The sequence below is a fragment of the Homo sapiens genome, chromosome 1, assembly GCF_000001405.40.
Source record: "Homo sapiens chromosome 1, GRCh38.p14 Primary Assembly".
NCBI lineage: Eukaryota > Metazoa > Chordata > Mammalia > Primates > Hominidae > Homo > Homo sapiens.
The window spans coordinates 53945503-53972484 of NC_000001.11; the positions used below are offsets into that span (position 1 = coordinate 53945503).

The 26982-nt window shown below is 43.5% G+C and overlaps 2 protein-coding genes across 24 annotated transcripts in view, besides 6 other annotated features; one reads left to right on the forward strand and one right to left on the reverse strand.

Moving 5' to 3' along the window:
* The window catches only part of IFT25 (intraflagellar transport 25), a 34730-nt gene extending 33927 nt beyond the window's left edge, over positions 1-803 (reverse strand). For 13 of the 21 annotated variants that reach the window (NR_133632.2, NR_167995.1, NR_167994.1 and 10 more), the window contains exon 1: positions 53-197. The gene's annotated coding sequence lies outside the window, so the exon portion shown is untranslated. Of the gene's footprint in view, positions 1-52; positions 198-734 lie in introns of those variants that run through there. The other 8 variants (NR_167989.1, NR_167990.1, NR_167992.1 and 5 more) reach the window with 1 other exon arrangement.
* Positions 94-1163: a silencer, noted in NCBI's record as "silent region_913". NCBI's record gives its function as "represses an Ori minimal core promoter by ATAC-STARR-seq in GM12878 lymphoblastoid cells {active_cell/tissue: GM12878}" and the evidence as "EXISTENCE:reporter gene assay evidence [ECO:0000049][PMID:35858748]".
* On the forward strand, positions 848-22666 carry LRRC42 (leucine rich repeat containing 42). 3 transcript variants are annotated; one of them, NM_001256409.2, is made up of 9 exons: positions 848-1047; positions 2286-2319; positions 6484-6970; positions 12647-12778; positions 14854-14972; positions 16532-16620; positions 16794-16907; positions 20794-20878; positions 22163-22666. In NM_001256409.2, exons 3-9 carry the CDS (start codon positions 6498-6500, stop codon positions 22435-22437), a joined length of 1287 nt encoding a protein of 428 aa, NP_001243338.1. In that variant the 5' UTR covers positions 848-1047; positions 2286-2319; positions 6484-6497; the 3' UTR covers positions 22438-22666. The 3 variants fall into 3 exon arrangements, with proteins under 3 accessions (NP_001243338.1, XP_006710391.1, NP_443172.1); XM_006710328.5 differs by lacking the exon at positions 2286-2319 and adding an exon at positions 2360-2479; NM_052940.5 differs by lacking the exon at positions 2286-2319.
* Positions 3574-3868: a silencer, noted in NCBI's record as "tiled region #3629; K562 Repressive DNase unmatched - State 25:Art". NCBI's record gives its function as "represses a minimal TATA promoter and a strong SV40 promoter by Sharpr-MPRA in K562 cells {active_cell/tissue: K562}" and the evidence as "EXISTENCE:reporter gene assay evidence [ECO:0000049][PMID:27701403]".
* Positions 3642-3691: a silencer, noted in NCBI's record as "silent region_914". NCBI's record gives its function as "represses an Ori minimal core promoter by ATAC-STARR-seq in GM12878 lymphoblastoid cells {active_cell/tissue: GM12878}" and the evidence as "EXISTENCE:reporter gene assay evidence [ECO:0000049][PMID:35858748]".
* Positions 11214-12413: an enhancer, noted in NCBI's record as "MED14-independent group 3 enhancer chr1:54422389-54423588 (GRCh37/hg19 assembly coordinates)". NCBI's record gives its function as "activates an origin of replication core promoter dependent on BRD2, BRD4, P300/CBP and CDK7 cofactors, and independent of MED14, by STARR-seq in HCT116 cells {active_cell/tissue: HCT116}" and the evidence as "EXISTENCE:reporter gene assay evidence [ECO:0000049][PMID:35650434]".
* Positions 11734-12028: an enhancer, noted in NCBI's record as "tiled region #11594; HepG2 Activating DNase matched - State 14:Gen5'". NCBI's record gives its function as "activates a minimal TATA promoter and a strong SV40 promoter by Sharpr-MPRA in HepG2 cells {active_cell/tissue: HepG2}" and the evidence as "EXISTENCE:reporter gene assay evidence [ECO:0000049][PMID:27701403]".
* Positions 13274-13980: an enhancer, noted in NCBI's record as "H3K27ac hESC enhancer chr1:54424449-54425155 (GRCh37/hg19 assembly coordinates)". NCBI's record gives its function as "activates a minimal SCP1, AML or CMV promoter by ChIP-STARR-seq in naive H9 embryonic stem cells {active_cell/tissue: H9 hESC(naive)}" and the evidence as "EXISTENCE:reporter gene assay evidence [ECO:0000049][PMID:30033119]".
* Positions 22667-26982: the final 4316 nt, after the last annotated feature.

Sequence of the window (26982 nt, forward strand, 5' to 3'; positions counted from 1 at the left end):
CCAGGCCCCCATACCCTCTGGTGCCAGCCTGCCTACCCCGCTACCCGCTCACCTGGGACTCCCGTTAGCTCTGGGCGCCGGACCTTCCGGGCTCGAAACCTCCCTTGCGCCCCGCCCCACGCAGAGCGTCCCGACCCGCAGCTCCGCCTGCTCGCCGCGGCCTCCGTGGAGTCCGGGGTCGCGCGCGCTCCAACTCTGAAATCTTCGCGCCACGCCTCCCACAAGCCCCGTCCCACCCTCAGCCCCGCCCCTTCGCCGCGGCCACCGCTGAGTTTCCGGGCGCGCGCTCCTACCCCGAGCTCTTTGCGCCACGACTCCCACAGGCCCCGCCCTGCCCTCAGCCCCGCCCCACCCCGCCACCGCGGCCTCCACCGAGTTCCCGGGCGCGCTCGCTCCACCGAGTTCCCGGGCGCGCTCGCTCCTACCCCGAGCTTTTCGCGCCACGCCTCCCAGAGGCCCCACCCCGCCTCAGCCCCGCCCCCTCGCGGCGGCCTCGGCCCCTCCTACCCCTAGCTCTTAGCGCCACGCCTCCCACAGGCCCCGCCCACAATCGGCCCCGCCCTCTCCGGCTCCCATTACTTCGCGGGCCAAGATGCGAAACCACTCCTGTGCGCCTTTCCCCAGGCCAGTCCCGGGGCGCGCGCTGCCTACCCTCCCCCAGCTCAGCTCTATCCCCGGGGCCCGCAGGACCCAGGGGACCCACCCTCCCGCGAGCACGCACGCGCAGGGCCCACCTCTGCGAGTTCCAAACCCTCGGCCCTCGGGTCGCCTGCCCTGGGCCTGGCCCCGCCTCCAGGTCCGGCCCCGCCTTCGTGCCGGGGCCCGCGCACGCGCGCCTCCCCGGCCCAGCCTTGCTCCCGCCCCCGCCGGTCCCGCGGTCCCACGGCGCCTGGTTGCCCCCAGCCCCCTCCCTCCTCCCACCTTCACTGTGTCCCACCCTTCCTAGCTTTGTGCCCGGGGTGCTGAGCCCTTCCCCGTCAGCCGGGCCGCGGGAGGAGGGAGCCGTCACCGAGGAGCTGCCGCTCGCTGCCCCGGGCAGGGGCACAGGTAGGTGGCGGCCGCGGGCCGGGCCGCTCGCGGGGCCCCGGGTTGCGTGTGGGAGCGGGGGCGGGGTGTTAGGGAGGGGCGGGGTGGGGGAGGGGACGCCCCAGAGGGACGGCGGGGCGCGGGTTGAGGGGAGGATGAGGTATACTGGTGGGGGCGATGGGTTTAAGGGTGGCGTAGGGGTGCGGGGGCAGGCTATGGGGACGTGTGAGAATTGGGGTTCGGGGCCTGGGTGGGACAGGGAGCAGGATTAGCCTGGGTGGACTCGGGGAGAGGCATGCTTGGGGAGAGAGCGGGAAGAAGGAAGGGGGAAGGGAATGGGATTTTAGGGGTTCAAGGAGGAAACGAGATAGGATAGGAATAGAGAGGGTGGGGTCTTGGGGGCAGGGAAGAAAAGTTGGGGGTGTGGAATGCCAAGTTGGGGATAGTGAGGCGTGAAGGAAGAGGGTCTTGAAGATTGAGAACAGAAGGCAAGGAAAGGGATGGAGAGATTGGGGTCCTAGGAGAGGGAAGCCCCTAGAGTGGGAAGAAGGGAAGAATAGATGGTGAAGGAGAGGAGTGGGGGGTGGAGGAGTGTGGGGAAGGAAGGGGAGGCAGGTGAAGGTTGGGAGATCGGAGGTTGGAAGGTTGGGTCTGTGGGACAGCAAGCCACCTTTCACCAGGGGCTCGGAAGGGCTGGAAGGGTCTGAAGGTTGAAAGGGGCAGGAGAGCTGGGGTGGGCGAAGGGAGTGGGGTTAGGATTTTTGGTGTGAGAAGCGCTAGAATTGGTAAGAGTGTCACGTTGTGGGAGAGACTGGCATGTTCTTGGAGGGAAGTAGGGAGCCTGAAAGGGTATGGGTGAGAAGGCAGGTAGGAAAGTGCATATTATAGGAAAAAAGTAGTGAGGAAAGTTGAAAATTGAAGAATGGGGACACACAGAACAATGAAGGTGGATTGTTGGTTATTGGTGGTTTAGAACTACCCATAGTTTAGTTTCTGTTTAGGTTTTTATGTTAGAAATTTTCCCAAGAATACTGCATTTTCAGATAAACCAAAAGTGTCTGCAGCCTTGGGATGAAGGCCATGGGTTGGCAGATGTTCTCCTGGTATATGGATGTAGCTCATTTTGGGCCTGGCTGAGGGAAGAAGGGAGGCCTCGTTGTAAATGTCCTGGCTGTGTTCCCACTAGCTCTTTCCCCAGATGTGCACTGTTTTTTTGTTTGCTTTTGTTTTTTAATCTTATCCCCACCCCCTCCCCCCAGGCTTCATCCAGTGAATACTAGAGGGATCGAACAGGTGGGTGAGATTAATTTTTCACATTTTTTTTATCCTTAAGGTTGATGTCATATTTTTAGTCTTGAGAAACAGCATCATGCCAAGGAAAGAGCTTGAGCTTTGGAGTAATGCGGCCCTGAGATTGAATTCTGGCTCTGCCACTTATTAGCTCTGTTCTAGAGTAAGTTATTTTATTTCCGTGGGTCTCTTTGTCTATTAAAAGGCAATACTGACCTCATAGGATCATTAAAGATTACATGAGATCATTTTATATAGTACCTAACACAGTGCTTGGCAACTGGTAGGTGCTTAATAAATGGTAGCCATCATCCAGTATCATTAAACATCATAGTTACTGCTACAACTTGTTATTCTTAGGGGATTTTTATCTTACTTTATCTACTGAAGTTAGATATTTTCTTCTTCTTCTCTTCAAATTAGCCGTAGATTCAGCTCACAATTTTACCCTGTGGGCTCCCTGACAATCCCAGTCCACCTGACTGGCATAGTCATGCTTTTTGCTTGGGAAACTGGATTCAAGGTCTAAAAAACTGTCATGTGTAGTTATCAATAATTTTGTCTGGCCTTTTTCAAGAAAGCTGTATAGAACTGAGTTTTTAATGTAATACAGCTGTGTTTCATTCATTTGATGAAATGGTACACTTCGTGGTAACTTTGGCTCGCTTGTGGTGACCAAATGCTAGAACATACATGATTGTAATATTTTTCTATGCTGTCGTATGGGTTACAAAGCTGCCTTCCTGTAGCAGGCTGGGAAACTATCAAAATGTCGCTGTTACTCTTGATCCAATATATAATACAGCTACTACGATCTACATTGGGCATTGTTATTGTTGTAGTGACTAAGTATTTTAATTTTTCAATTTGGATGGAGTTTTCACCATGGTTTAGAACAGGCCCTGTCTCCTGACCAGGTCCATTTGTAATACACCACCCAGTACAATAGTGAGGGACAAATGAACCCAAGTAGTGAAGTTTTGTGTAGAATTCTCTTGCCTTTCTGGTTCTTAGCCTTGAAGGGTTCAAATGTTAATTTAATGCTTAGGTCATGTTACATACCTCATAGACTCAGGAAGATCCTTTTTGGGAGAATGCAGGATGTGCTGATTTAGTAGTAGAAATTAAAGGACGCCAGGATTCCCAAACCAAAGTCAATTCCTCCAGTGGCTTCTGGACAAATGATGTGGGTTTACTCTCCAGGAAAAAATTGTATTTATTTTTTCCTCATTTAGAAAGATAAGTGGTATTTGGTGGGTAATCTAAAGAAAAACAAACAAACAAAAAAACAACCAGAACTGTGCCTTTTTTTTGAAAATGATCCCTGGAAGCCAAAGCAGCCAGGATTTTGAGGAGCCCAGGTTAGGGTCCTTACTCTAGCCCCAAGCTGCTTGTGCCCTCTGCTGGATGGAATCAGACTTCTAGTTTTCATCTGAAGTGGTCACCCACCCACCCCATCCATCCATCCATTTGTCCATTTTACAACAGTGTTTGTGGAAGGCACTGTTAGGGGTGAGGGTTGGGGGCAATACAGATGGGCAGACCCTGTGTCATTGCTCAGGGAGTTCACAGTGTATTCATCCACTATAATAGGGTATGTTCCATAGAATTTGTCTTTCTGTTGTTAAAATCACGTCAGTCCTTTTTAGGGCCATACCTAGCGTCTGCTTTCTGATCTACAAGTAGAGTGGAGCTCTGAATGTTAAATGACAGGGATAAAGACCAAAGGACATCTGCCGTAATTCCTCAGTCAAAATTAAGGTCTGCAAGGTTGGAGGGTCCAGATGCTCACCCCTACTGGAGGAACAGCTCAGAATAAATGAGGTGTCTCCTTAGCAGCAGGGGCTGTAAATGCTGGCAAGAGAAAAGTATGGGTTATAAGAGCTGGCACTGTGACAGGATTTTTTTCCCCTGTTTTTTAGTTTAGTTGTCTCCCACCCCTTGTAGTACCAGTAGCAATATATTCCCATCGTCTGCTTTGCCTCTGCCACCTGCAGAAGGGTCTGGCAAGTGGGGGAGGAGCCTGCAGCTGTTGCCTGGAAAAGGAGCTGGCTCCTAGCAACAGTATCAGCAGGCCCTACAACTGAGAGCACCAAGTTTGTCCTTTGAGGTCTTACCCTTCCTTTCATACAGTTCAGCAAATATCTTTTGAGGGCTTACTTAGTACTAGGCACTATGTCAAGCCTGAGAAAGATAGATGAATCAAATAAGTACCTTGCCTTCAAAAAGCTCACCACTCTGGGTACATTAACAAGTGAACAGACATAGTACATGGTCCTAAGTGCTATGTAGGAGAGACTGGGTGCTCTGGGAAAACCAGACAGGCACGTACTGGTGCAGGGGTTAGGGAAGGTTTCCCAGAAGAGGGACGAAGTTAATGATGAGTAGGAATTAGCTAGGTCAGGTAGGCAGAGAAGGATGTTCCAGCCAAAGGGAACAGAACGAGCAATGGCCAGTGGGACATGAGAGCATGGCCAGTTTACCTGGGTAGTATGACAGGGCCAAAGAGTAGGACATAAGGAGATGAGCAGGAAAGGGTGAGGCTCTAGGGCTAGGCAGAGTACTCTTCTCTCATGTGCTTTTATACACATAATTATCCTTGAGAGAAACATGGATAGTACTGATTCCCACACACAGGTTCATTGTTTCATCTCCAGAGACTCAGCATTTTTGATCACGGACCTAATTGTGTGCTGACACTCATAAGTGCCTTCAGGGCCACATTGTGGCCCCACATTGATGCAGAAGAAGCTGAGTTGGTTCACTCTAAAACTCAATCAGATTATTTTAGGGATATTATCAGGCATGTATGATATTCTACCTCTCTTCTCCCTTTAAATTGTAGAAATAATCCTCAAATACCTTCATTTTATGTAACATAGCAATTTTTCATGTATTTTGAAATCTCATGGTTACTCAGGAGGAAAACAAGTATTCCAGTTAGTTCTTGGGCATATATTATTACCCACATGACTGCAGAAATGCCCAACTGTTTGACTTTTTTATGTTAAAACTGCCCTAATAGAACTTTAATAGATACGAAGTTTCCAAAGGCTAGAATAGTTTTTATGTAGCTCTTGTAATGGAGGTATTTATTTGTAGATAAAAAAAATCCTGTTGCTTTTGGTCTTTGTAAAGTTTAGCAAACGAGTAAATGTTGGTTCCACACTATCTGCTCGGGGACTATAAGATGCCAGGACACTGTGTTATAGAGTCTGCATGAATTCAGCGTGGTTCCTTTTCTCAAGGAGCCCAAAGCAGCAGATGGCAGACTCAGAAACAAATAAATACAACAGTGCACCGAGTGCAACCAAGAAGTGTGTGGAATGTGTCAAGCTAGCAAGGGAGTTATTTATTTCTAGTCTTTTTTCTGTGTCTAAACATGTTTTTTAAAAATTCATAATTTTAATGGCTTTATCACATTCCATGGTACGTGTAAGTCATAATGTATTTATTAACATCCCAATTGTTAGACATTTAGGTCGTTTTCCAATTGTTTTGCTAATATAAACTTGCTGCCATTAATTTACACATAAATGAATCTTTGCTGACATCTGTGACAACTTCCTTAGCATGAATTTTGAAGATGAGATTTTGACCTGGGTTTCTGTTTGTTTTTTTTTGAGACGGAGTCTCGCTCTTGTCACCCAGGCTGGAGTGCAATGAAACAATCTTGGCTCACTGTAACCTCTGTCTCCCGGGTTCAAGCGATTCTCTTGCCTCAGCCTCCTGAGTAGCTGGAACTACAGGCACGCACTACCACGCTCGGCTAATTTTTGTATTTTTAGTAGAGATGGGGTTTCACCATGTTGGCCAGGCTGGTCTCGAACTCCTGACCTCAGGTGATCCGCCCGCCTCGGCCTCCCAAAGTGCTGAGATTACAGGCGTGAGCTAATGCGTCCGGCCTTGACCTGGGTTTTGAAAGAAGAGTGGGAGATGGCCAGATAAACAAGAAAAAGGGAAGAGTAGGAAGGGGCATTCCAGGTAGCGGCAATAGAGGCAACCTTGAATGCCAAAGTTCCCAGGCAACTGGTGAGTTTTGCTTTTCCTAAACCAGCCACCAGGCCTGCCTGGTAGGCTCATAAAGCCCTGGGCACAGCAAGATGAAGTTACATGTTACAAATGGCATTTTAATTGGATTTGCTTCCCTGTGCCTTGCTTTTACAGTTGCAACCAAGGCAATGTCTTACTACCTCAGCTCAGAAAACCACCTGGACCCAGGGCCCATCTACATGCGAGAAAATGGGCAGCTGCACATGGTCAATCTGGCTCTGGATGGTGTCAGGAGTAGCCTGCAGAAGCCAAGGCCTTTCAGACTGTTCCCCAAAGGCTTTTCTGTGGAGCTTTGCATGAACAGGGAAGACGACACTGCACGGAAAGAGAAGACTGATCATTTCATCTTCACATACACCCGAGAGGGGAATCTTCGGTACTCCGCCAAATCCCTCTTCAGCCTTGTCCTGGGTTTCATCTCCGACAATGTGGATCACATTGATTCCCTTATTGGCTTTCCTGAGCAGATTGCTGAAAAGCTGTTCTCTGCTGCTGAAGCCAGACAGAAATTCACTGAGCCAGGTGCAGGGCTGAGGGCTTTACAGAAATTCACTGAGGCCTATGGAAGTTTGGTGCTTTGCTCCCTGTGTTTGCGAAACAGGTGGGTGTTCTGATTAGATTATTCGGTATTTTATTGGGTGTGTTAATTCTGTCAAGCTCTGGGGCTTAGTGGGCTCAGGGGCTTCCCTCATCAAATAGCACTTCAGTTTAGAACTTCCAAATATGAAGTAAAAGACCATATTGAAAAAAATCACTCTTCCTTCTCCTCACCTCTTAGATGACACTTAACTTTATTCTGAAATCATTTTACAAGGATTAGTTGTCACAGCTCCTCCATTAAGTAGAAAATATTATTCTAACAGCTTTCAAAGAGAAAATAGAAAAGACAAAATGTGATCTGCCAAATATCTCTTGATACGCTCTTACAGATGGGGAGATTAGTACCCAGAGTTTTTGGGCCTGTTTTTGGTTTTCAGACCACTAGATACTGACCATTAGATAAAAAGTGACCTTAAAAGATTGGGTGATTAAAATTTCAAATATCCTAAAGTTTGGCAGTTCTCAAAGTCCCAACACTAAGGTCTGTGGTCTTAACAAAGCAGATATTTTCTCTTGTGACTGCCTTTGCTCATATGCTTTATTTAAAATTTTTACTTTACCGTCATGTAAAAACACTTTCAAAACATCTAATTTTTTAAAAAACTTGCAAAAACAATAAAACTATACATGGCAAACAATTTAAACACAAACACAAAGTGGCATAAAATGAAACATAAGCCTTCTTCCTATCTCATCTCCAGTTTCCTCTCTCCAGAGACCAAATGCTGTTACCAGTTTTTAAAATACCATTCCAGAGATATTCTATACACATACATGCTTATGTAGTTCCCGTCTTTGTTATACAGATGGCAGCATGCTGCATACACTCTTATGGACCTTGCTTTCTTCACATAATTTGAAAATCATTTATCATCAATACTTGTAGATTTTTTTTTGTTTTTTTTGAGACAGAGTCTTGCTCTGTCGCCAGGCTGGAGTGGCAGTGGCACGATCTCAGCTCTCACTGCAACCTCCAACTGCCTGGTTCAAGCAATTCGCCTGCCTCAGCCTCCCGAGTAGCTGGGATTACAGGCATATGCCACCATGCCCAGCTAATTTTTGTATTTTTAGTAGAGACGGGATTTCACCATGTTGGCCAGGATGGTGTCGATCTCCTGACCTCATGATCCTCCCGCCTCAGCCTCCTAAAGTGCTGGGATTACAGGCGTGAGCCACCACGCCTGGCCTACTTGTAGGTTTTTAAAATAGCTTTATTGTATACCACTGTATGAACTATTCTGTGATTAGACCTGAAAGGTAGCTTACTTTTTTTTTTTTTGAGACGGAATTTTCCTCGTTTCCCAGGCTGGAGTGCAATGGCGCGATCTCAGCTCACTGCAACCTCCACCTCCCAGGTTCAGGCAATTCTCCTGACTCAGCCTCCTAAGTAGCTGGGATTACAGGTGCCCACCACCATGCCTGGCTAATTTTGTGTCTTTTTAGTAGATACGGGGTTTCACCACGTTGGCCAGGCTTATCTCGAACTCCTGACCTCAGGTGATCCACCGGCCTCAGCCTCCCAAAGTGCTGGGATTACAGGCATGAGCCCCCATGCCCAGCCGGCAGCTTACTATTAAGACGCACAATCTGCATGAGCATTATAACAAGGGCTGAACAAAAAATGTATATAAGAGAAAGCCATATCAGAAAACAGGAGGTAAGCTCGTATGCTTAATAAAGGAGAAATGATCTTTATTTAATCAGCTCATAGAATTAATGGTTTCACCACAGGCCAAATACTGTATTTTAAAAAGAAAAGACATAAACACATGCAGAAAAGAATAGAAACTTGGCTCATAAACTGAGCAGGCACCTTGAAAGCTCTGTCTCTGGGCTATGGTCTCAGTCATGGCTGGACTTGGGACTGCTGCCAGTGGAAAGGAAAAAAATTACCTTGCCTAAATGAAAAAGTCAAGCAATATTTCATTGTGGCTTATGCATTTAAAATACGTTTTACCCTTCATTTTTTCTTCCAAGTTGTTTATGTTCATTGTAGAAAAGTTAGAACAATGGCAAAATAGACTTATGATGTATATCTTGTTTTAAAATTAGCAATACATGCTATTTGGGGAATGCATAAAATTGTAGTATTAAAAAATCCATAATCCCACCATGATGATCATTTTCAAATATATTATTTTTATACATTTGGGAATATATACTTTGTACAACTCGTATTCTGTTTTTTCCCCCACCTACCCTTATAGCTTAATATTTGCCATGCTGTTGAAAACGCCGTTTATCCATTTGCGATGTCTGGATACTGTTGTAGTGGTAGATTGGTCAGATTGGGATGAGAATAGCACTTTTCATTCACATTTGATGAGGACATAAATTAGTGTAGCATTTCTGGAAGCAGTTTAGCAATATGTATCAAGAACCTTGAAAACATCCATACTATTTGTTTGACCCATTAATTCTACTTACTAAGAATCTATTCTGATCCCTAATGTAATAATCAAAGATGGGAACAGATATTTTTACATAAGAGTGTTCATTGTAGTACTGTTTGTACAAGTGAAAATCTAAAAACTAAATGTTCAACAGTAGGGAGTTGGTTAAGCAAATTATAGTATATTTATATGATGAAATATTATGTAACTATTAAGATAATATTTTAAGAAACAGATTTTTTAAATGTATGTATTGGACAGATAGAAGGAAAAAAGAAATCTACCAAAAAGCGGTCTAGATGGTGGGATTGGAATTGATTTTATATTCTTTATACTTTCCTATATTTTCTTAATTTTTTTCCAATGAAAGTGATACATTATCAGAAAATGTAAGAAACATTTACATTTATATAATAATCAGAAAATATAGGAAACTTTTTTTTTCTTTCTGAGACAAGGTTTCACTCTGTTGCTCAGGCTTGAGTGCAGTGGCGTGATCTTGGCTCACTGCAGCCTCCGCCTCCCAGGTTCAGGTGATTCTCCCACCTCAGCCTCCCGAGTAGCCAGGACTACAGGCGCCCGCCACCGTGCCCAGCTAATTTTTGTATTTTTTGGTAGAGATAGGGTTTCACCATGTTGACCAGGCTGGTTTCGAACTGCTGACCTCAAGTGATCCACCCACCTCAGCCTTCCAAAGTGCTGGGATTACAAGCGTGAGCGACCATGCCCAGCCAGAAAATATAGGAAACAATTTTAACATAATCTTTTTTTTTTTTTTTTTTGAGACGGAGTCTCGCTCTGTCACCCAGGCTGGAGTGCAGTGGCTCGATCTCAGCTCACTGCAAGCTCCACCTCCCGGGTTCACGCAATTCTCCTGCCTCAGCCTCCCGAGTAGCTGGGACTACAGGTGCCCACCACCACGCCCGGCTGATTTTTTGTATTTTTAGTAGAGATGGGGTTTCACCATGTTAGCCAGGATGGTCTCGATCTCCTGACCTTGTGATCCACCCGCCTCGGCCTCCCAAAGTGCTGGGATTACAGGCGTGAGCCACCGCGCCCGGCCAACATAATCTTTTAGCCCATATTTTATTGCAGCAATTCCACACTTGACTGTCTCATTCAAATGTAAGACTTTCAGTTGTTATCAAAAACCTCTCTTCTCCTTTTGAATCCTTAAAGGCAAATAGAGGGCAGGAAACTTGAGGTTGCATTTGCAATCCAGGGCTGTAGCTGCAGTCCAAGAGGTTTTGTCAGCACAAAGGGGTTCAGGTCAAAAGTAATGAGCTTGAAAAAATAAATGAAAATAAAATAACTGGGTAGGTGCAGGCACTTGCTATCTTGGGGTTAAGTCACAAAGCTACCTGCCAGAAGCAAGTGTCTTTGCAACTGAATTCCAACCTTACGAAAACTCTCTTCTCCCTTGTGTTGAAACCCCAGTGATTTTTAATCCCACTGGTGGTAACAGGGAGGCAAGTATGTTTTCCTTAAAATATCACTTTTTGTTGTTGACATAATAGTAATAGCTACTATTTCATGAGGTCTTGCAAGATGCCATGGAATTTTAAAATATTGTTTCTCTTTTTCTTAATCATCCTGAAAAGAATTTTGTAGCCCCATTTTGTAGCTGGAGAAATTGAGGCTCAGAAAGGTTAAGTAACTGTCTCACAATCACACAAGTAATTGGGCTGTTAGAATCCAAACTCAGGTCTGGTCTGTGCTCTTTCTATTGCTTTTCCACTGTACTGTTCCGAACCCTTTAAGGGAAAATTTGGAAGACTGGTTGCAAGCAAGAACCTAGAGCTTTGATTATGTCCTAGATTAGCACCTAGTAATGTCTGTGGCCTAACATGTTTGTTCCTCAACCTTGAGTTTCGTAATGTTTCTTAATCACATTACACAGTGTTATGTCCTTTGCAGAGAACCCTTGTTTCAGAATTACTAAAAATCTTTTGGTTAATTGATCAAAGTATATGTGTTTTCCTTTCTCTGATTGCCAGTAATCCTCTAAATCCCCATTAACACACTTCAACTCTGTGATTGGAAGGTGGAAAACAGCAGCTTTATTTACAATGCAATTAAAATACATCTGAGTAAATAAGGCTCTTTTGTGTACCCAGCTGAGCTCGGTCTCCAGGCACCTTAGGTTCCACCCTTTAAGGGGGTATCAGTGCCTCAGACCATCTGTACCTAGCTGTCAGGCTGGTGATTAGTTTGAGTACATCTTTTTTTGGTTGGAAGTAGGAAGAAAAGAGATTAACTCCTCTCTTGCCCTCTGATTATTCCATCCTGTTTTTGGCAGTTGTGATCCTGCTGATGGAAGAGAGGTATGTACTCTTTTAGGTGTAACCCCACTGATCCTAACACACCATCTTGCTGTGGAAACTTCCAGACATTCAAGAGGAAGGTGGATGAGAGAGGCCTGCTCTTGCCACAAGTCAGTTTCCCTGTCCTCTTAGGTTCCTCTCCTCTCCATTTCCTGTCACACCTAATCCCTTTCATTTTTTCTCACTGACCTCATCTGAGATAGATGAACCACTAGAAAGCAGGGTGGAGGCCCCAGCCTGGGCTGTGGAATGCTGTTTTGATCTCCTTTCCCTCTCCAGAGGCTTCCCTGATGCTTCCTGATAACAACTTGGCAAGGTGCTGCAATGTAATTAAGTTGCTCGTGCTCAGGGTTTGTCTTAATATCCATCTAGACTGGAGTGAGTCCTTGTAGCAGTCTTGCTGTACATACTTTTGGAGTAAAGTTAGGATAACAGGCACAGGGGAGTGTTCAGGAAAGATAAAATGTGATGTGCCAAATATCTCTTGGTATGTTCTTGGGGACATGCAGATTGGAAACGAGAGTTCTTGACCTTGCTCCAGTTTTCAAATCACTGGATGTTGAGCATTAGATTAAAAGCAACTTTAAAAGAATTAGTAATTAAAAATTCGAGTATCCTAAAGTTTGGAAATTCTCAGGTAAGGTCCCAACACCAATGCCAAGGTCTGCCTGATAACAAAGCAGGTGTTTCACTTGTGACTTTCCTTTGCTAATATACATTTATTTATTTATTTATTTATTTATTCAAAATTTTTATTCTACCATCACATAAAAAGATGTTCAAGGCATTTACTAATTAAAAAATTCAGCCTTTGCCCTGATAGTAATTAGTGAAGTCTGCTTATTCCATAGTACTGTGTCCTGATGGGATGGTAGGATATTGACTATGATACAAATCCACAAATGGTAATGCTTTAAGAGTAGTGAGGGGAAGCTATTGATTGCTCTCCACGCTCCGTAGGTATCTCGTGATTTCAGAAAAGCTTGAGGAGATTAAGTCTTTCCGGGAGCTGACCTGCCTGGATCTTTCCTGTTGCAAGCTTGGAGATGAGCATGAACTTCTAGAACATCTCACCAATGAAGCCCTGTCTAGGTACTGACCTGTCACCACTTGCAGATGAATTGTTTCAGTATTGTTTTAAAGGCTGATCCAACAGGATTATCTTCAGGAATGCTGATTACTTCCCATTCTTATGTTGATTTGCTTTTTTTTCCTAAAACATTTTCAATCTCCATTTACTTGGTATAAGCAATATAGATTAGACAACCCTTAGAAAGTCAGTCAGTTGACTCAAGTCAGTTAGTTGACTCTTTTTTTCTAAGTAACTTTTATTTTAATATGTAATACTTGAAGCTACGTAGGTTAAAAAGTGGTTTTGCCCCTTATTTATTTATTTTTATTTTTATTTTTTTTGGAGACAAAAGTTTCGTTTTTGCCACCCAGGCTGGAGTGCAATGGCACGATCTCAGCTCACCGCAACCTCCACCTCCCAGGTTCAAGCAATTCTCCTGCGTCAGCCTCCCAAGTAGCTGGGATTACAGGCATGCACCACCACGCCCAGCTAATTTTGTATTTTTAGTAGAGACGGGGTTTCTCCGTGTTGGTCAGGCTGGTCTCGAGGTCCTGACCTCAGGTGATCCTCCCGCCTCAGCCTCCCAAAGTGCTGGGATTACAGGCGTCAGCCACTGCGCCTGGCCCTATTTATTTATTTCTTTAGACGGAGTCTTGCTCTTGTTGTCCAGGCTGGAGTGCAGTGGCGTGATCTTGGCCCACTGCAACCTCCACCTCCAGGTTCAAGCTATTCTCATGCCTCAGCCTCCTGATAGCTGGGATTATAGGCGCCCCCCACCACGCCGGCTAATTTTTGTACTTTTAGTAGAGACGGGGGTTTTGCCATGTTGGCCAGGTTGGTCTCGAACTTCTGACCTCAGGTGATCCACCCACCTTGGGTTTTGCCCTTTATTTATCCAGTCCTAGTTTATTCTAGCAAGGGATGAGACATTATACCATAGTCAACAATCATTATCGTTTGCTACTTTAACTATCAATGAGCTACAATTATAAAGAAAATGAACTATTAAAGACAGCCAAAGAAATTCTTTTCAGGAGTCATGATTTAAAGAAATGGCCCAGTTCATACCATTCACAAATAGTCTGACTGATCTCAGGTTATTCTGGCCAGCAAAGAGGAGGACAGATGGATCCCTCTGTGGTTTTATAAACACCCAGAAGAACAACAGCATTACAAACCTAGGTCTAACCTACTACCTGAGGCCTGCTTCTGACAGTGACACCTACCTACTGCCCCATAAAAAGATGCTGTTGTGTGAGGCTAGCCAGCATCAAGGCTCAGATTTCTTATGTGAAAACGGAGCATATTAATATACCAATTCCAGCTTAGCATCAGATGGATTGGATTATGGGTATACCTTATTAACCCAAACTGAAAATCTAGATTGATAAAGCTGGTTAAATTTAGAGGATTGTTTGCTTTGCAAAAATAATTCTCATAGGAGTTCTTTAGCAGACTTTCCTGACATAGTTAGAATGTTTTTGATTTTCACACCATTTGTCAGAAAAGCAGCTTTTGTTTTAAAGTATATTTATCCCCTAGTGGAAGTCCATTTACCTCATTCAACAATATACCTTTAGTGCCCTCTGCCCTCTGAAATTAGTACTGCATGACACTAAATTAACTCTCACTTGGTAACTGAAATGGCACCAAAAAATCTTTTTTTTTTTTTTTTTGTTAGGCAGGGTCATGTTCTGTCACCTAGGCTGGAGTGCAGTGGTGCAATCATAGCTCACTGCAGCTTTGAAATCCTTGGTTGAAGCCATCTTCCTGCCTCAGCCTCCCAAGTAGCTGGGACCACAGGCACACAGCACCTTGGCTAGCTAATTTTTTAAAATTTCTTGCAGGGATGGGGTCTCTAACTCCTGGGCCCAAGTGATCCTCCAGCCTCAGTCTTCCAAAGTGCTGACATTACAAGCATGAGCCACCATGCCCAGCCCAAAAGAGCTTAACTTTGTTAAATGCATTGGGTATGAAATAGCAAGAGGTAGAGGATATGTTATATTTTTAAATGAAAATGTTGAAAGCATGTTTTTATACCTAGATTGTCTCAAACTCTCTTTGAGTAATTTATGTATGTACTTTGTTTCCCTAGTGTAACTCAGCTCCACCTGAAGGATAATTGTTTATCTGATGCTGGGGTGCGGAAGATGACAGCACCAGTTCGAGTGATGAAAAGAGGCCTTGAGAATCTAACATTATTAGACTTATCATGTAAGTTTTCTTCGAAATTATAGATTATTTTAATGTTGGAAGAATGGCCTTAGAGATCATGTAGTTCTTCCTCTTCATTTTAGAGGTGAGAAAGGAAAGGTGACTTTCCTCGGTGCCATAGAAACTTGGTGGCAGAACAGGATTGAGGCCAAAGACTCTTGACTCCTGGCCAACTGATTTTTCTAGCACATACCACCTCTTTAGGGTAGGAAAAACCCTTACACATTCATCCATGCCACTCGCTGTGTGCAAACAGAGACACCTTTCATCATATTCATTGCATACTTAAAGGACATTTGACTCATCTTTATTTTCCTTGAGTCTCTGATCCTTGGTGTCTGTCAGCTAGGTCCTTTTTTATCAGTGTTTGCCTGATGAAAAGCTGGATGAACGGATAATTTACTCAGATTAACCAGATATTGACTCCAATGGTAAGAGGTTGACAGAGATCATTTACAATTTAACCGAGCATCCATTGACTCTATGGCAGGACAGTATGATGCCAAAAGAATAGAAAGAGCAGTGGTTTGAGGTCTGAGGACCCTTCTTGGTCTACCACTTTTACTACCAGTTATATACCTTCAGACCAGTTATTTAACCACTTTGAGCATTGGTTTTGGCCTTTGTAAAATGAGGATAATAATGAATGTCCTGGCTGGGCGCGGTGGCTCACGCCTGTAATCCCAGCACTTTGGGAGGCCGAGGCGGGCAGATCACGAGGTCAGGAGATCAAGACCATCCTGGCTAACACAGTGAAACCCCGTCTCTACTAAAAAGATACAAAAAATCAGCTGGGCGTGGTGGCCGGCACCTGTAGTCCCAGCTACTCGGGAGGCTGAGGCAGGAGAATGGCGTGAATCCGGGAGGCGGAGCTTGCAAGTGAGCCAAGATTGCGTCACTCACTCCAGCCTGGGTGACAGAGCAAGACTCTGTCTCAAAAAAAAAAAAGAAATAATGAATGTCCTCCCTACCTCCCAGGGAAGTGTATTCATTCAACAAATATTTTTTGAGCATCTACAATGTGCCAGGCACTACGCTTATGGCCTTGAGGACTCAATGCTAAGTGTAGTACTCTCTGACGTGAGAAAGTAATATATAAGAAAGGATTCTGAAAATAATGCAAGTTGGTAAGAGTGGTGATAGTATCTGTGTCTAAGTTCCCTTGAATATCTTTTTAAAATAAATAAATGCTTTTACTTTGGAGGTGAAATGGCCATGAATAAAGTATGATAAACCATTGTAATACATGTTTATGTATGTTTTCATATGGTTCCAAATTAAACCCTTTGGGATAACTACCTGGTTCATTTATTTTTCTGCTCACCCCCAACTCCTAGAAAGTAAGAGCTGTAAAGGATCTTTAGGGATCATTGAGTGTGGCTCTTTTATATTACAAATAGTAAAGATCAGACCTCTGTATTTAATTTACTTTGAAAAGTTTGCCAACTCAAATGTTTTATAGTTTATCATTGCCCGGACGTTTTTCTGAGCTTATTTTTGGTTGTCATTTTAACAGCATTTATATTGTGACAGAATGCTACGTTGTTTTTGACATCTAGGTAACCCTGAGATCACAGATGCAGGCATTGGATACCTCTTTTCTTTTAGGAAACTAAACTGCTTAGATATCTCTGGGACAGGGCTCAAGGTAAGACTTTTGGTTCCTTCTCTCATTTTTCTAGACTCAACAATTTGATATTTTGCCTGTGCTAATTGGTATTTAGAAAGGGCTGGTATTTATGATGGTCTTTATTTACTACTGAAAACAAGTAAGAATTAACCAAATGTATTTGCATTTCTGATCTGTCTCTGCCTCACTAGGACATCAAAACCGTCAAGCACAAGCTCCAGACCCACATAGGCCTTGTTCACTCCAAAGTGCCTTTGAAGGAATTTGATCATAGTAACTGCAAGACAGAGGGCTGGGCTGACCAGGTACTCCAGATTTTTCTTCCTTGCGGTTGATGCAGCTTTTCATCTTAATTCCAAGTGTCTTATCCAACACATTGAATAAACAGTAATCCACTTGGTAGTCCTTGGTTAAATTGTCATCTTCATGTCAAATTGGAGACACTGATGGGCTATAACTGGCCCACGTGCTTAAAGAATTGGCGCCAGACCTTATATCTCATGCTCTGGTCACTAGGTTGTGCCTTATCTTTACTGGACCTAGGAGAAAATGTCATCTTACAGATGACTCAGAAAATAAGTGAATTCTGGCTTGCTACACAAAAAAGCAGTCTGACCCAACTTCAGAAGGACAGATTCTCTTAGTAGTGTGTATATACAGGAGAGAGAATAAACTCCGGTGTCATGCAAATAAAGATTCAAATATGATTCTTCTCTTTGTTTTGGGAAAGTTTCTTACCTCCCACAGCCTTAGTGAGGAGGTGTCTTTCTTGTCCTTCTCTCACTGAGTCTTAACAGTGAGAGAACTTTACTTTGACTTCCTTTTGTCTTGATGGTCTTTCTTCACTTGGTAGAGTACAGACTTAAGTGAGATTCAGAGTCTTCTATGTAAGTTGGAAGTGTGAAAGTAACCAAGTAGGACAGCACAAGTAGATGCCACCTTCCCTGTGGCTGGGGCCTTTCTCCCTTAGATGCTTTTAACCAATGTTTCTTGGTGGAGGCCTAGAGGACCCACCAAACTGTCCTGGATCCCCTCTTAGCTCCAAGCCATAATGCAGGATGGTAGAACTATCCACCTGCTGGATTGTAGCGTCACCTCTCCACAGGTAAGCAGGGAGACTGCTGAGTCGTGTTTCAGAAGCACACTGAGCTTGGTCCAGAACATGCATGATGAAATAATTATCATGGTGCATTGCCAGACAAAGTTTCTAGTGCTGTATGAGACCTAGATGCATCCAGTGGATGTGGGACAGGTGTGGGATGGTCTTACAAAGGCTTGCTGCAGTTTGGTAGCAGGTGACATGGTGGAAAGAGCATAGGCTGTGGAGTCAGAAAGACCTGGGCATGGAATCCTGGCTCAGCAACCCCATAGCTGTACAACCTAAAGCAACTTTCAGTCTCTGTGTTTTCATCCATAAAATGCAGAAACCAGGACCTCTCTTGAGCAGGGCTCAGGAAGGATCAAATAAAACACCTAGCAGCCTGGCCTGAGAGTAAGTTGACTGGACCAGTGCAGCTTCCTGCCCTCCGCCCTCAGCTGGGCCCCTAGGGCGTGGCAGCAGTGCTTTGCCTATGTCTTGGGGATCTGTTATTGAAACTGTTTCAGGCTGATTCCACTCACCTGTCCTCATTCTCATCTCACAAGGGTCCACTTACTTCCCTATTTCTGTCTCAGAATTTCTCCATTTCTTCAACCGTATTACACTTCCCTTCTATCCGAGAGAACAAGTATGCTCCTTTATTCCAGTCACAAGCCCTTTTTTTCTTTTTTAAAAAATTCTGTTCCCTAAGATCTCCAACTTCCCTTGTGCTATTTACTAATAATTATTTTCCCCTCCTGCCCACCCCCCCCCCATCTTCATTGTCCCCCTTTGTTGGCTATCTGCTTTCTGTGGATAAACACAAGGTGTCCTTATTCTAGCTTGGTCCTCATTCCCCAGTGCAGCTGTGCATTGTTTCCTGTCCAGTCTGTCCCACCCCCTCCTTGCCTACTCAGTTCTTACTCCCTTGCGATTTAGTTCTGGCCTCCCCTGCTCTCCTGACAGTGTCCTCTTGAAGGAGATATTCTTCACCTTCCTTGGCTTTCCTGCAGCATTCGATAGAAACATGCATGACTTATGTATTTTTCTCTGGGCCTCTCTCCTGGCTCTCCCCCAACTTTCTCACTCCTCTGGCTATGACTGATTCCTCTTTCTTCCTCTCCTCTTCTCCCACATCTCCACACTCCCCAGGTGCTCTTTCACTGTTCTCAGAGCTCCAGCTGTCCTTGCGAGGATGACTCTGCATTCCTCTCTCAGACACTAGACTCATTCCCAAGTATCCTCTGTAAATCTCCACCTGCCACCTCAAATTCAGCTTGTCCCGAACCAAACTCATTTTCTTCTTCCCCATCCCCGACCAGCTCTTATTGACATTCTTATTTCTGTTTAGCGGAAGGAAGCACCATTTTCCCTATTGCCCACTGAGTCAACATGTTCTATTAATCCATCCTGGTGTTCCCTGAAATCTGTTCCCATTTTTATAACCAGAAAATTATAGAAAAGATGGCAACTAATATTTATTAAGTGCCTTTTGTGTGCCAGACACTGTGCTAAACTCTTTATGTGTATTATCTCATTTAATCCTTAAAACAGCCCTATGGAATGTGTACTATCATTGATCCTTACAGATGAAGAAATTGAGACTAAGAAATCACTTGCCATGGGTCCCCTGGCAAATAAGTGGTGGAGCCAACTCTGGAACTGGTTTTTTGTTTGTTTTTAAATAGAGATGGGGTTTCACCATGTTGCCCAGGCTGGTCTCGAACTCCTGGGCGCAAGGGATCCTACCGCCTCGGCCACCCAAAGTGCAAAGATTACAGATGTGAGCCACTGTGCCTGGCCTGGAACTGTATTGTTTTTTTTTGTTTTTTTTTTTTTTGGAGACAGAGTCTCGCTCTGTCGCCCAGTCTGGAGTGCAGTGGTGTGATCTTGGCTCACTGCAACCTCCACCTCCGGGTTCAAGTGATTCTCATGCCTCAGCCTCCCGAGTAGCTGGGACCACCATGCCTGACTAATTTTTGTATTTTTTAGTAGAGGCAGGGTTTGACCATGTTGGCCAGCCTGGTCTCGAACTCCTGTGATCCGCCTGCCTCGGCCTCTCAAAGTGCTGGGATTACAGGCGTGAGCTACTGAGCCTGGCCTGGAACTGTATTCTTAAACTCTGTGTTGGGCTGCCTATGTCCTGAAAATGTTTTTCTTGACCTTTTTTATGGTCATTTCATTGCATTCCATAATAAACAAATATTAAATTTAAAGTTCTTGTTATTCATGGTATATTGAAATGATCATTTGCTTTTCTTAATGTATAGTTTATATTCAGGCATATTTCTTTTTTCTTTTCTTTTTTTTTTTTTGAGACAGAATCTCGCTCTGTCACCTAGGCTGGAGTGCAGTGGCACTGTCTCAGCTCACTGCAAGCTCTGCCTCCCGGGTTCACGCCATTCTCCTGCCCCAGCCTCCCGAGTAGCTGGGACTACAGGCGCCTGCCCAGCTAATTTTTTTTTTGTATTTTTAGTAGAGACGGGGTTTCACTGTGTTAGCCAGGATGGTCTCGATCTCCTGACCTCGTGACCCGCCCGCCTCGGCCTCCCAAAATGCTGGGATTATAGGCGTGAGCCACCGCGCCCGGCCACATATTTCTAAAAGAATTGGTAGCAGCTTATAATAAAAATATATTTTTAACAGTTTAAAAAGTAAAAACTGATCATGGTATGTTATGAGAATATGGAAACATGGGCATTTTACATACAAAAGTTTGAGTTATAGTTGGCATATTTTAAGGCACGAGAGTAAGTCTAGGAATGTGTGGAAAGTGTTATGACTAAAGTTTTAAGTTTTAGTATTTAGTTTAAGGATATGTAATTTATTTCCAGCTTGGAATAAAGATGAAAATAGACAGTGAAATCAGCTTTATAGATTTCTCTTAGTCATGCAGATACATATATCCAACGTGTTTGCATTCTGACTCAACTCCTGCATTAGAACAGAAAATGCAGACTTGACTTGGTTCTTATTCTTATCACCAGTCATCTGAAGTTAAATTTACCAGAGGGGTTTGTGTTTATGGAGAGGGAAAAAGGGGGAACAAGAAAGGCTTGAGATTAAAATCTCAATATTTTGTTTGGATTCAAATCTTTCCAAATATGTTTCAGATCGTTCTGCAGTGGGAGCGTGTGACTGCGGAAGCTGTGAAGCCACGGGAGACCTCGGAGCCTAGAGCAGCAGCTCAGCGCTTCTGTGAGAAATTCCCTTTCCTTTGAAGTTTTTTGCCCTTTATTTGCATCCTTAAAGCAGTTCGCTTGTTTTCCCTCCTTGGAAAAATTAATTATGATAGTATTGGCTTATTTATGATCACCAAGACTTGTATTCCCTTAGCATAGCTTACAGTATAAGTTCACACTTAGCTTTGAGCACCAGCACCAGGAAGACAGCTTTTTAAAATTACTTACTTACGTACCATCTTGTTCCAAAAAAGATTTGTGGTGGTACAAAAGCTATATAGAATACAGAAGATGAAAAAGGAATTGAGTGTAGCCAGAGGGTGGAAGCAGCCCAGGTGTCCCATCAACAGATAAATGGATAAACAAAATGTGAAATATACATACAATGTATTTCAGGCTTTAAAAGTAAGGAAACCGACACAACATGGATGAGCCTGCAAGATGTTATGCTAAGCAAAATAAGCTAGTCACAAAAGGACAAATATTGTGTGATTGTTCTTGTATAAGGTACCTAGAATAGTTAGATTCGTAGAGCAAGCAGAATGGTGGTTGTGACTAGGGAGGCGGGGGTGGCACGGGCAGGAATAGGGAGTTATTGTTTAATAGGTACAGAGTTTCATTTGTACAAGATAAAAAGAGTTCTGGAGATGGATGGTGATGATTGCACAACAGTGTGAATGCCCTTAATACCACTGAACTGTACACTTAAAAATGGCTAAAATAGTAAACTTTATGTTATGTATATTTTATCATGATTTTAAAAGAAAAGGAAGTAAATGATGAAATCAAAGTGAAGGAAATGTAAAGGTACTAAATAAGAATCCAGGGCATACCAAAAAAATGTAAAATAGGTTGTATCATTTGCTATTTGGCTCTTAGAGTCAAATCCAGATTTCGAATAATGAAGGCTGTCATTTTTGTGGCCTTTAGTGTGTGTCAAGCATTGTGCTAATCACTTTATGTACATGATCTCATGTATCTTCATATCACCCTTATGAAATAGGTTTTGTATCCCTCTAGAGGTGATTAAACAGAATCTCAGACAAGTCACTTACCCACGGTCACTTCTAGGAAGAGGCAGATCTAGGATTTAAATCCAAATCTGTCAGACTGTAGTATGCCTCCAACCTGTGCCGCCATGCACACCACAGCGACCTCACAGGGCACTCAAGGCAAAATGCAATCAATGCAGATATCACCCTGTTTGGGCCTTTGTCATATCCCTGGGTTTATCCTAGACTGATGAGGGAATTAGCATATGCCAGTGTAGTGAACTCATCATCCCTCCCTTCTGTCACAGATGGGAAGCGGTCTCGAGCAGAAGCCCCACTGAAGTGTCCCCTGGCAGACACCCACATGAACTCTTCCGAGAAACTCCAGTTCTATAAAGAGAAAGCCCCAGATTGCCATGGGCCAGTGTTGAAACACGAAGCTATCTCAAGCCAGGAGTCAAAGAAGAGCAAGAAGAGACCTTTTGAGGAGTCAGAGACAGAACAGAATAACTCTTCACAACCTTCAAAGCAGAAATATGTATGTCTTGCTGTGGAAGACTGGGACTTGTTAAATTCCTATTGATTAGTAGATACAAGTTGACCTTTCTCTGGCCCCCAGCTCTAGTGTTTGAGTAAAGGAGACTGAGGATGATTTACTTTTTGTTTGAATTTACCTATGGCATTAGCATAGTAAGCAGATATTTCTACTTTTGTGGTGTGGGAGGGGAATGCTATGGAAGTATGTAATAATTTCTAATGTATATTTTCAATACATAGTAATTTTTTCAAATAAACATTTTTGCTGTCCTTAAGTTCTGCTTGTGGATTATAGACTGGAGCCACAGGAAATAACACGGTTTGGGATGGAAGGCCAGGTGAACTAACAAGGCAGCTTAGCATAACTCAGAGATACTGCAGGTTTGGTTCCAGACCACTGCAGTAAAGCAAACACTGCAATAAAGTGAGTCACCAGACTCTTTCATTTCCTAGTGCATATAACAGTTATGTTTACACTATATAGCAGTCTCTTAGATGTGCAATAGCATTATCTCCAAAAAGAAAAAACATGTATATACCCTCATTTTAAAATACTTTATTGCTAAAGAAAATGCTAACAATTATCTGAGCCTTTAGCAAGTTACATTCGTTTTGTTGGTGGTTGGGGGGTCTTGCCTTTGTTGGTGGATGGATGCTAACTAATCAGGGTGGTGGTTGCTGAAGGTTGGAGTGGCTATGGAAATTTCTTAAAATAAGACAATGAAGTTTGCCACATTGATTGACTCTTCCTTTTGTAAAAGATTTTGCTAGAGCACACGATGTGGTTTGATAGCATTTTACCTACAATAGAACTTCTTTCAAAATTGGAGTCAGTCCCCTCAAACCCTGCTGCTGCTTTATCAACTAAGTCTATGTAATAGTCTCAGTCCTTTGTTATTTCAACAATGGTTACATCTTTACCAGGAGTAGATTCCATTTCAAGAAACTACTTTCTTTGCTCATCCATAAGAAGTAAGTCCTCATCCTTTCAAGTTTTATCATGAGATTGCAGCAGTTCAGTCCTATCTTCAGGCTCCACTTCTAGCTTTCTTGCTATTTCTACCACATCTGCAGTTTCTTCCTCCACTGAAGTTTTGAACCCCTCAAAATCATGAGGGTTGGATTCAACTTCTTTCAAACCCTTGTTAATGTTGATTTTTTTTTTTTTTTTTTTTTTTTTTTTTTTTTTTTGAGACAGAATCTTACTCTGTGGCCCAGGCTGGAGTACAATGGCATGATCTCGGCTCACTGCAACCTCTGCCTCCTAGGTTCAAGTGATTCTCCTGCCTCAACCTCCCAAGTAGCTGGGATTACAGGCGCATGCCACCACGCCTGGCTAATTTTTATATTTTTAGTAGAGATGGGGTTTCACCATCTTGGCCAGGCTGGTCTTGAACTCCTGACCTCAAGTGATCCACCTGCCTCAGCCTCCCAAAGTGCTAGGATTACAGGAGTGAGCCACCACACCCGGCCCTAATGTTGATATTTTGACCTCTTCCTATGAATCACAAAATGTTCTTAATGGCATCTAGAATGGTGAGTCTTTTCTAGGAGGGAAAGTTTAGTTTTGTTTTTTGAGACAGGGTCTTGCTCTGTTGCCCAGGCTGGAGTGCAGTGGTGTGATCATAGCTCACTGCAGCCTCGACCTTCCAGGCTCAGGTGGTCCTCCCACCTCAGCCTCCCAAGTAGCTGGGACTACAGGCACATGCCATTGTCACACCTGGCTGATTTTTGTATCTTTTGTAGGGATAGGGTCTCACCATGTTGCCCAGGTTGGTCTCCTGGGTTCAAGAGATCTGCCCACCTCAGCTCCCAAAGTGCTAGTATTACAGGCGTGAGCCACTGCACCTGGCCTCCAAGAGGTTTTTAATTTACTTATTTACTTTGTCCAGATCCATTAGAGAAGTCACTGTCTATGGCAGCTATTGCTTTGTGAAATGTATTTAATAATAAGACCTGAAAGTTGAAATTACTCCAGATCCATATGCTGCAGAATAGGTGTTATGGTAGCAGGCATGAAAACAACATTCATCTTGTAAGTTTTTGGGTGATCAGGTATATTGTCTATGAGCAGAAATATTTTGAAAGTGCCTCTAATTTGTGGACTACACATTGAGTAGCAAAGCTCTAGACCTTTACTGTCCAATATGTAGCTCCTAGCTACATGTAGCTATTAAATACTCGAAATGTGGCTAGTCCAAATTGAGATGTGCTATAAAATACACACTGGATATCAGATATCAAAGACTTAGTATCTAAAAGTTTGAATGAAAAATGTCTCAGCCAGGCGTGGTGGCTCGCGCCTGTAATCCCAGCACTTTGGGAGGCCAAGGCGGGCGGATCATGAGGTCAGGAGATCGAGACTATCCTGGCTAATATGGTGAAACCCCGTCTCTACTGAAAATACAAAAAATTAGCCGGGTGTGGTGGCATGCACCTGTAATTCCAGCTACTTGGGAGGCTGAGGCAGGAGAATCGCTTGAACCCGGAGGGCAGAGGTCATAGTGAGCTGAGATTGTGCCACTGCACTCCAGCCTGGTGACACAGCAAGACTCTGTCTCAAAAAAAAAAAAGTCTCCATTTTGAAATACTGGTTACATGTTAAAATGGTAATTTAAAATAATTTCACCTGTTTTTATTTTTCTAATACGGCTACTAGAAAGTTTAAAATCACATTCATGGCTTGCATTTGTGATTGCATTATATTTTTACTGGACAGGACTGCTCTAGACCGTATTCATCTTTAAAAGGTGAGCTAAAAGCAAGAGTTACTGGCAAGTAAAAGGAAGGGAGAAAATACCTCAAGAAATTGACAACATTAGTTTGACATTTGTAAGTGCTCTGGAGTTTAATGAGGATTTTATTTATTATTTATTCATTATTGTTTTTTAACTTTTAGGTTCAAGGGTACTTACGGAGATTTGTCATATAGGTAACTTGCGTCTCATGGGGGACTGGTGTATAGATTACCTCGTCACCCAGGTAATAAGCGTAGTTAGTACCCAATAGGTAGTTTTTCGATCCTCTCCCTCCACCCTCAACAGGCCCCAGTGTCTGTGGTTCCTTTCTTTGTATCCATGTGTACTCAGTGTTTAGCTCCCACTTACAAGTGAGAACATGCAGTATGTGGTTTTCTGTTTAATCAGGATTTTAATAAAGGTAGATCTTAGATAAAATATGTGTTAATTGCTACTCTGAGCTAGGCAAGGTACTACCTCTTTAAAGGTGGGCTGTTACCCAGGATCATATCAAAAGCTTGATTTCTGAAATTTATAAAATGAAAAAGCGAATACAGTGCTGATTGGTTTTCTCTGTAACAAAGTAGAGTTTTAAAATATCATTTGAGGCCGGGCACGGTGCCTCACGCCTGTAATCCCAGCACTTTCGTAGGCGAAGGCGGGCGGATCACTTGAGGTCAGGAGTTCAAGACCAGCCTGGCCAACATGGTGAAACCCCGTCTCTACTAAAAATACAAAAATTAGCCAGGCATGGTGGTGTGTGCCTATAATCCCAGCTGCTCAGGAGGCTGAGGCAGGAGAATTGCTTGAACCCGGGAGGCGGAGGTTGCAGTGAGCCGAAATTGCGCCACTGCATTCCAGCCTGGGCGGCAGAGCGAGACTCCATCTTTAAAAAAAAAAAAAAAATCATTTGAGTGGACAGTAGCACTCTGTCAAATTCCAAATGCCAATCAACAGCTGGCTCTACTTGTCAAAGTTGGCATATTATTGTTAGTCAAACCAGAGTCCAATTTGATCACCCCCTCATGCACACAATCCCACCACCACCACCGGACTCCACTGTTGCCTGTGGGGCAATAATGCCATGTTAACAGGGAGCATCTGGAATTACTCTTCAAACATCCGCCCATTTTGATCACTGTGGAAGGCAAATCTTCCTTCCACATTTACCCCTTCAGAGCAACTTGTGCTCACTTCTCTCATCAACACAGTGTACTTTTAAAGCTAAGATTTCATTTTCTTTAATCCTTTTTTTCAAGAATCACATTTTTCTCTGCTGACGATTCCTTTAAACAAATATTTCTTGTTTTGGTCTGAGGAATTCATTCTTTGAAATGGAGTTATAGAAGTCTAGGCTTTGTTTTGATGACTGAGGTGAAGGCCAAGAATTTATGACCAGCATACAATAGATAGGGTAATTTGTGTGTTTGTGTAACTTACATGTGAGGATAGGCTGTTTTTTAAAATTAGAATTTGTTTCTGCCTTCTTAGAATTTACTTACTGACTCGTTATGAACTTCGCAAAGTGACTCAATTCTGAAAATCCTCATACCTCTTTAAAACTCTGCTGCCTACCTACATAAAGCTTACAAGAATGAATAAATCAGTGCTTCTCAAAAAACATGTTCTGTGAACCCCTGCCCCAGAGTTTTCTGTGGTATTTGTTAAAATGAAGATTCTTAGACCCCACCCATGTTTATTGAATCAGAATCTCATATTTATTATTTATTTATTTGATATGGAGTCTTGCTCTGTTGCCAGGTTGGAGTGCAGTGGTGCAATCTCAGCTCACTAGTTGAACCCGCCTGCTGGGTTCAAGTGATTCTCCTGCCTCTGCCTCCTGAAGAGCTGGG

What these genes read in the sequence shown, in the direction of transcription:
- LRRC42 (NM_001256409.2), top strand. Translation starts at nt 6,498, where the DNA reads ATGTCTTACTACCTCAGCTCAGAAAACCACCTGGACCCAGGGCCCATC. An exon ending in TCCCTGTGTTTGCGAAACAG is followed by an intron (nt 6,971 to 12,646) that starts GTGGGTGTTCTG and finishes CACGCTCCGTAG; the next exon opens with GTATCTCGTGATTTCAGAAA. An exon ending in AGCAGCAGCTCAGCGCTTCT is followed by an intron (nt 20,879 to 22,162) that starts GTGAGAAATTCC and finishes CTTCTGTCACAG; the next exon opens with ATGGGAAGCGGTCTCGAGCA.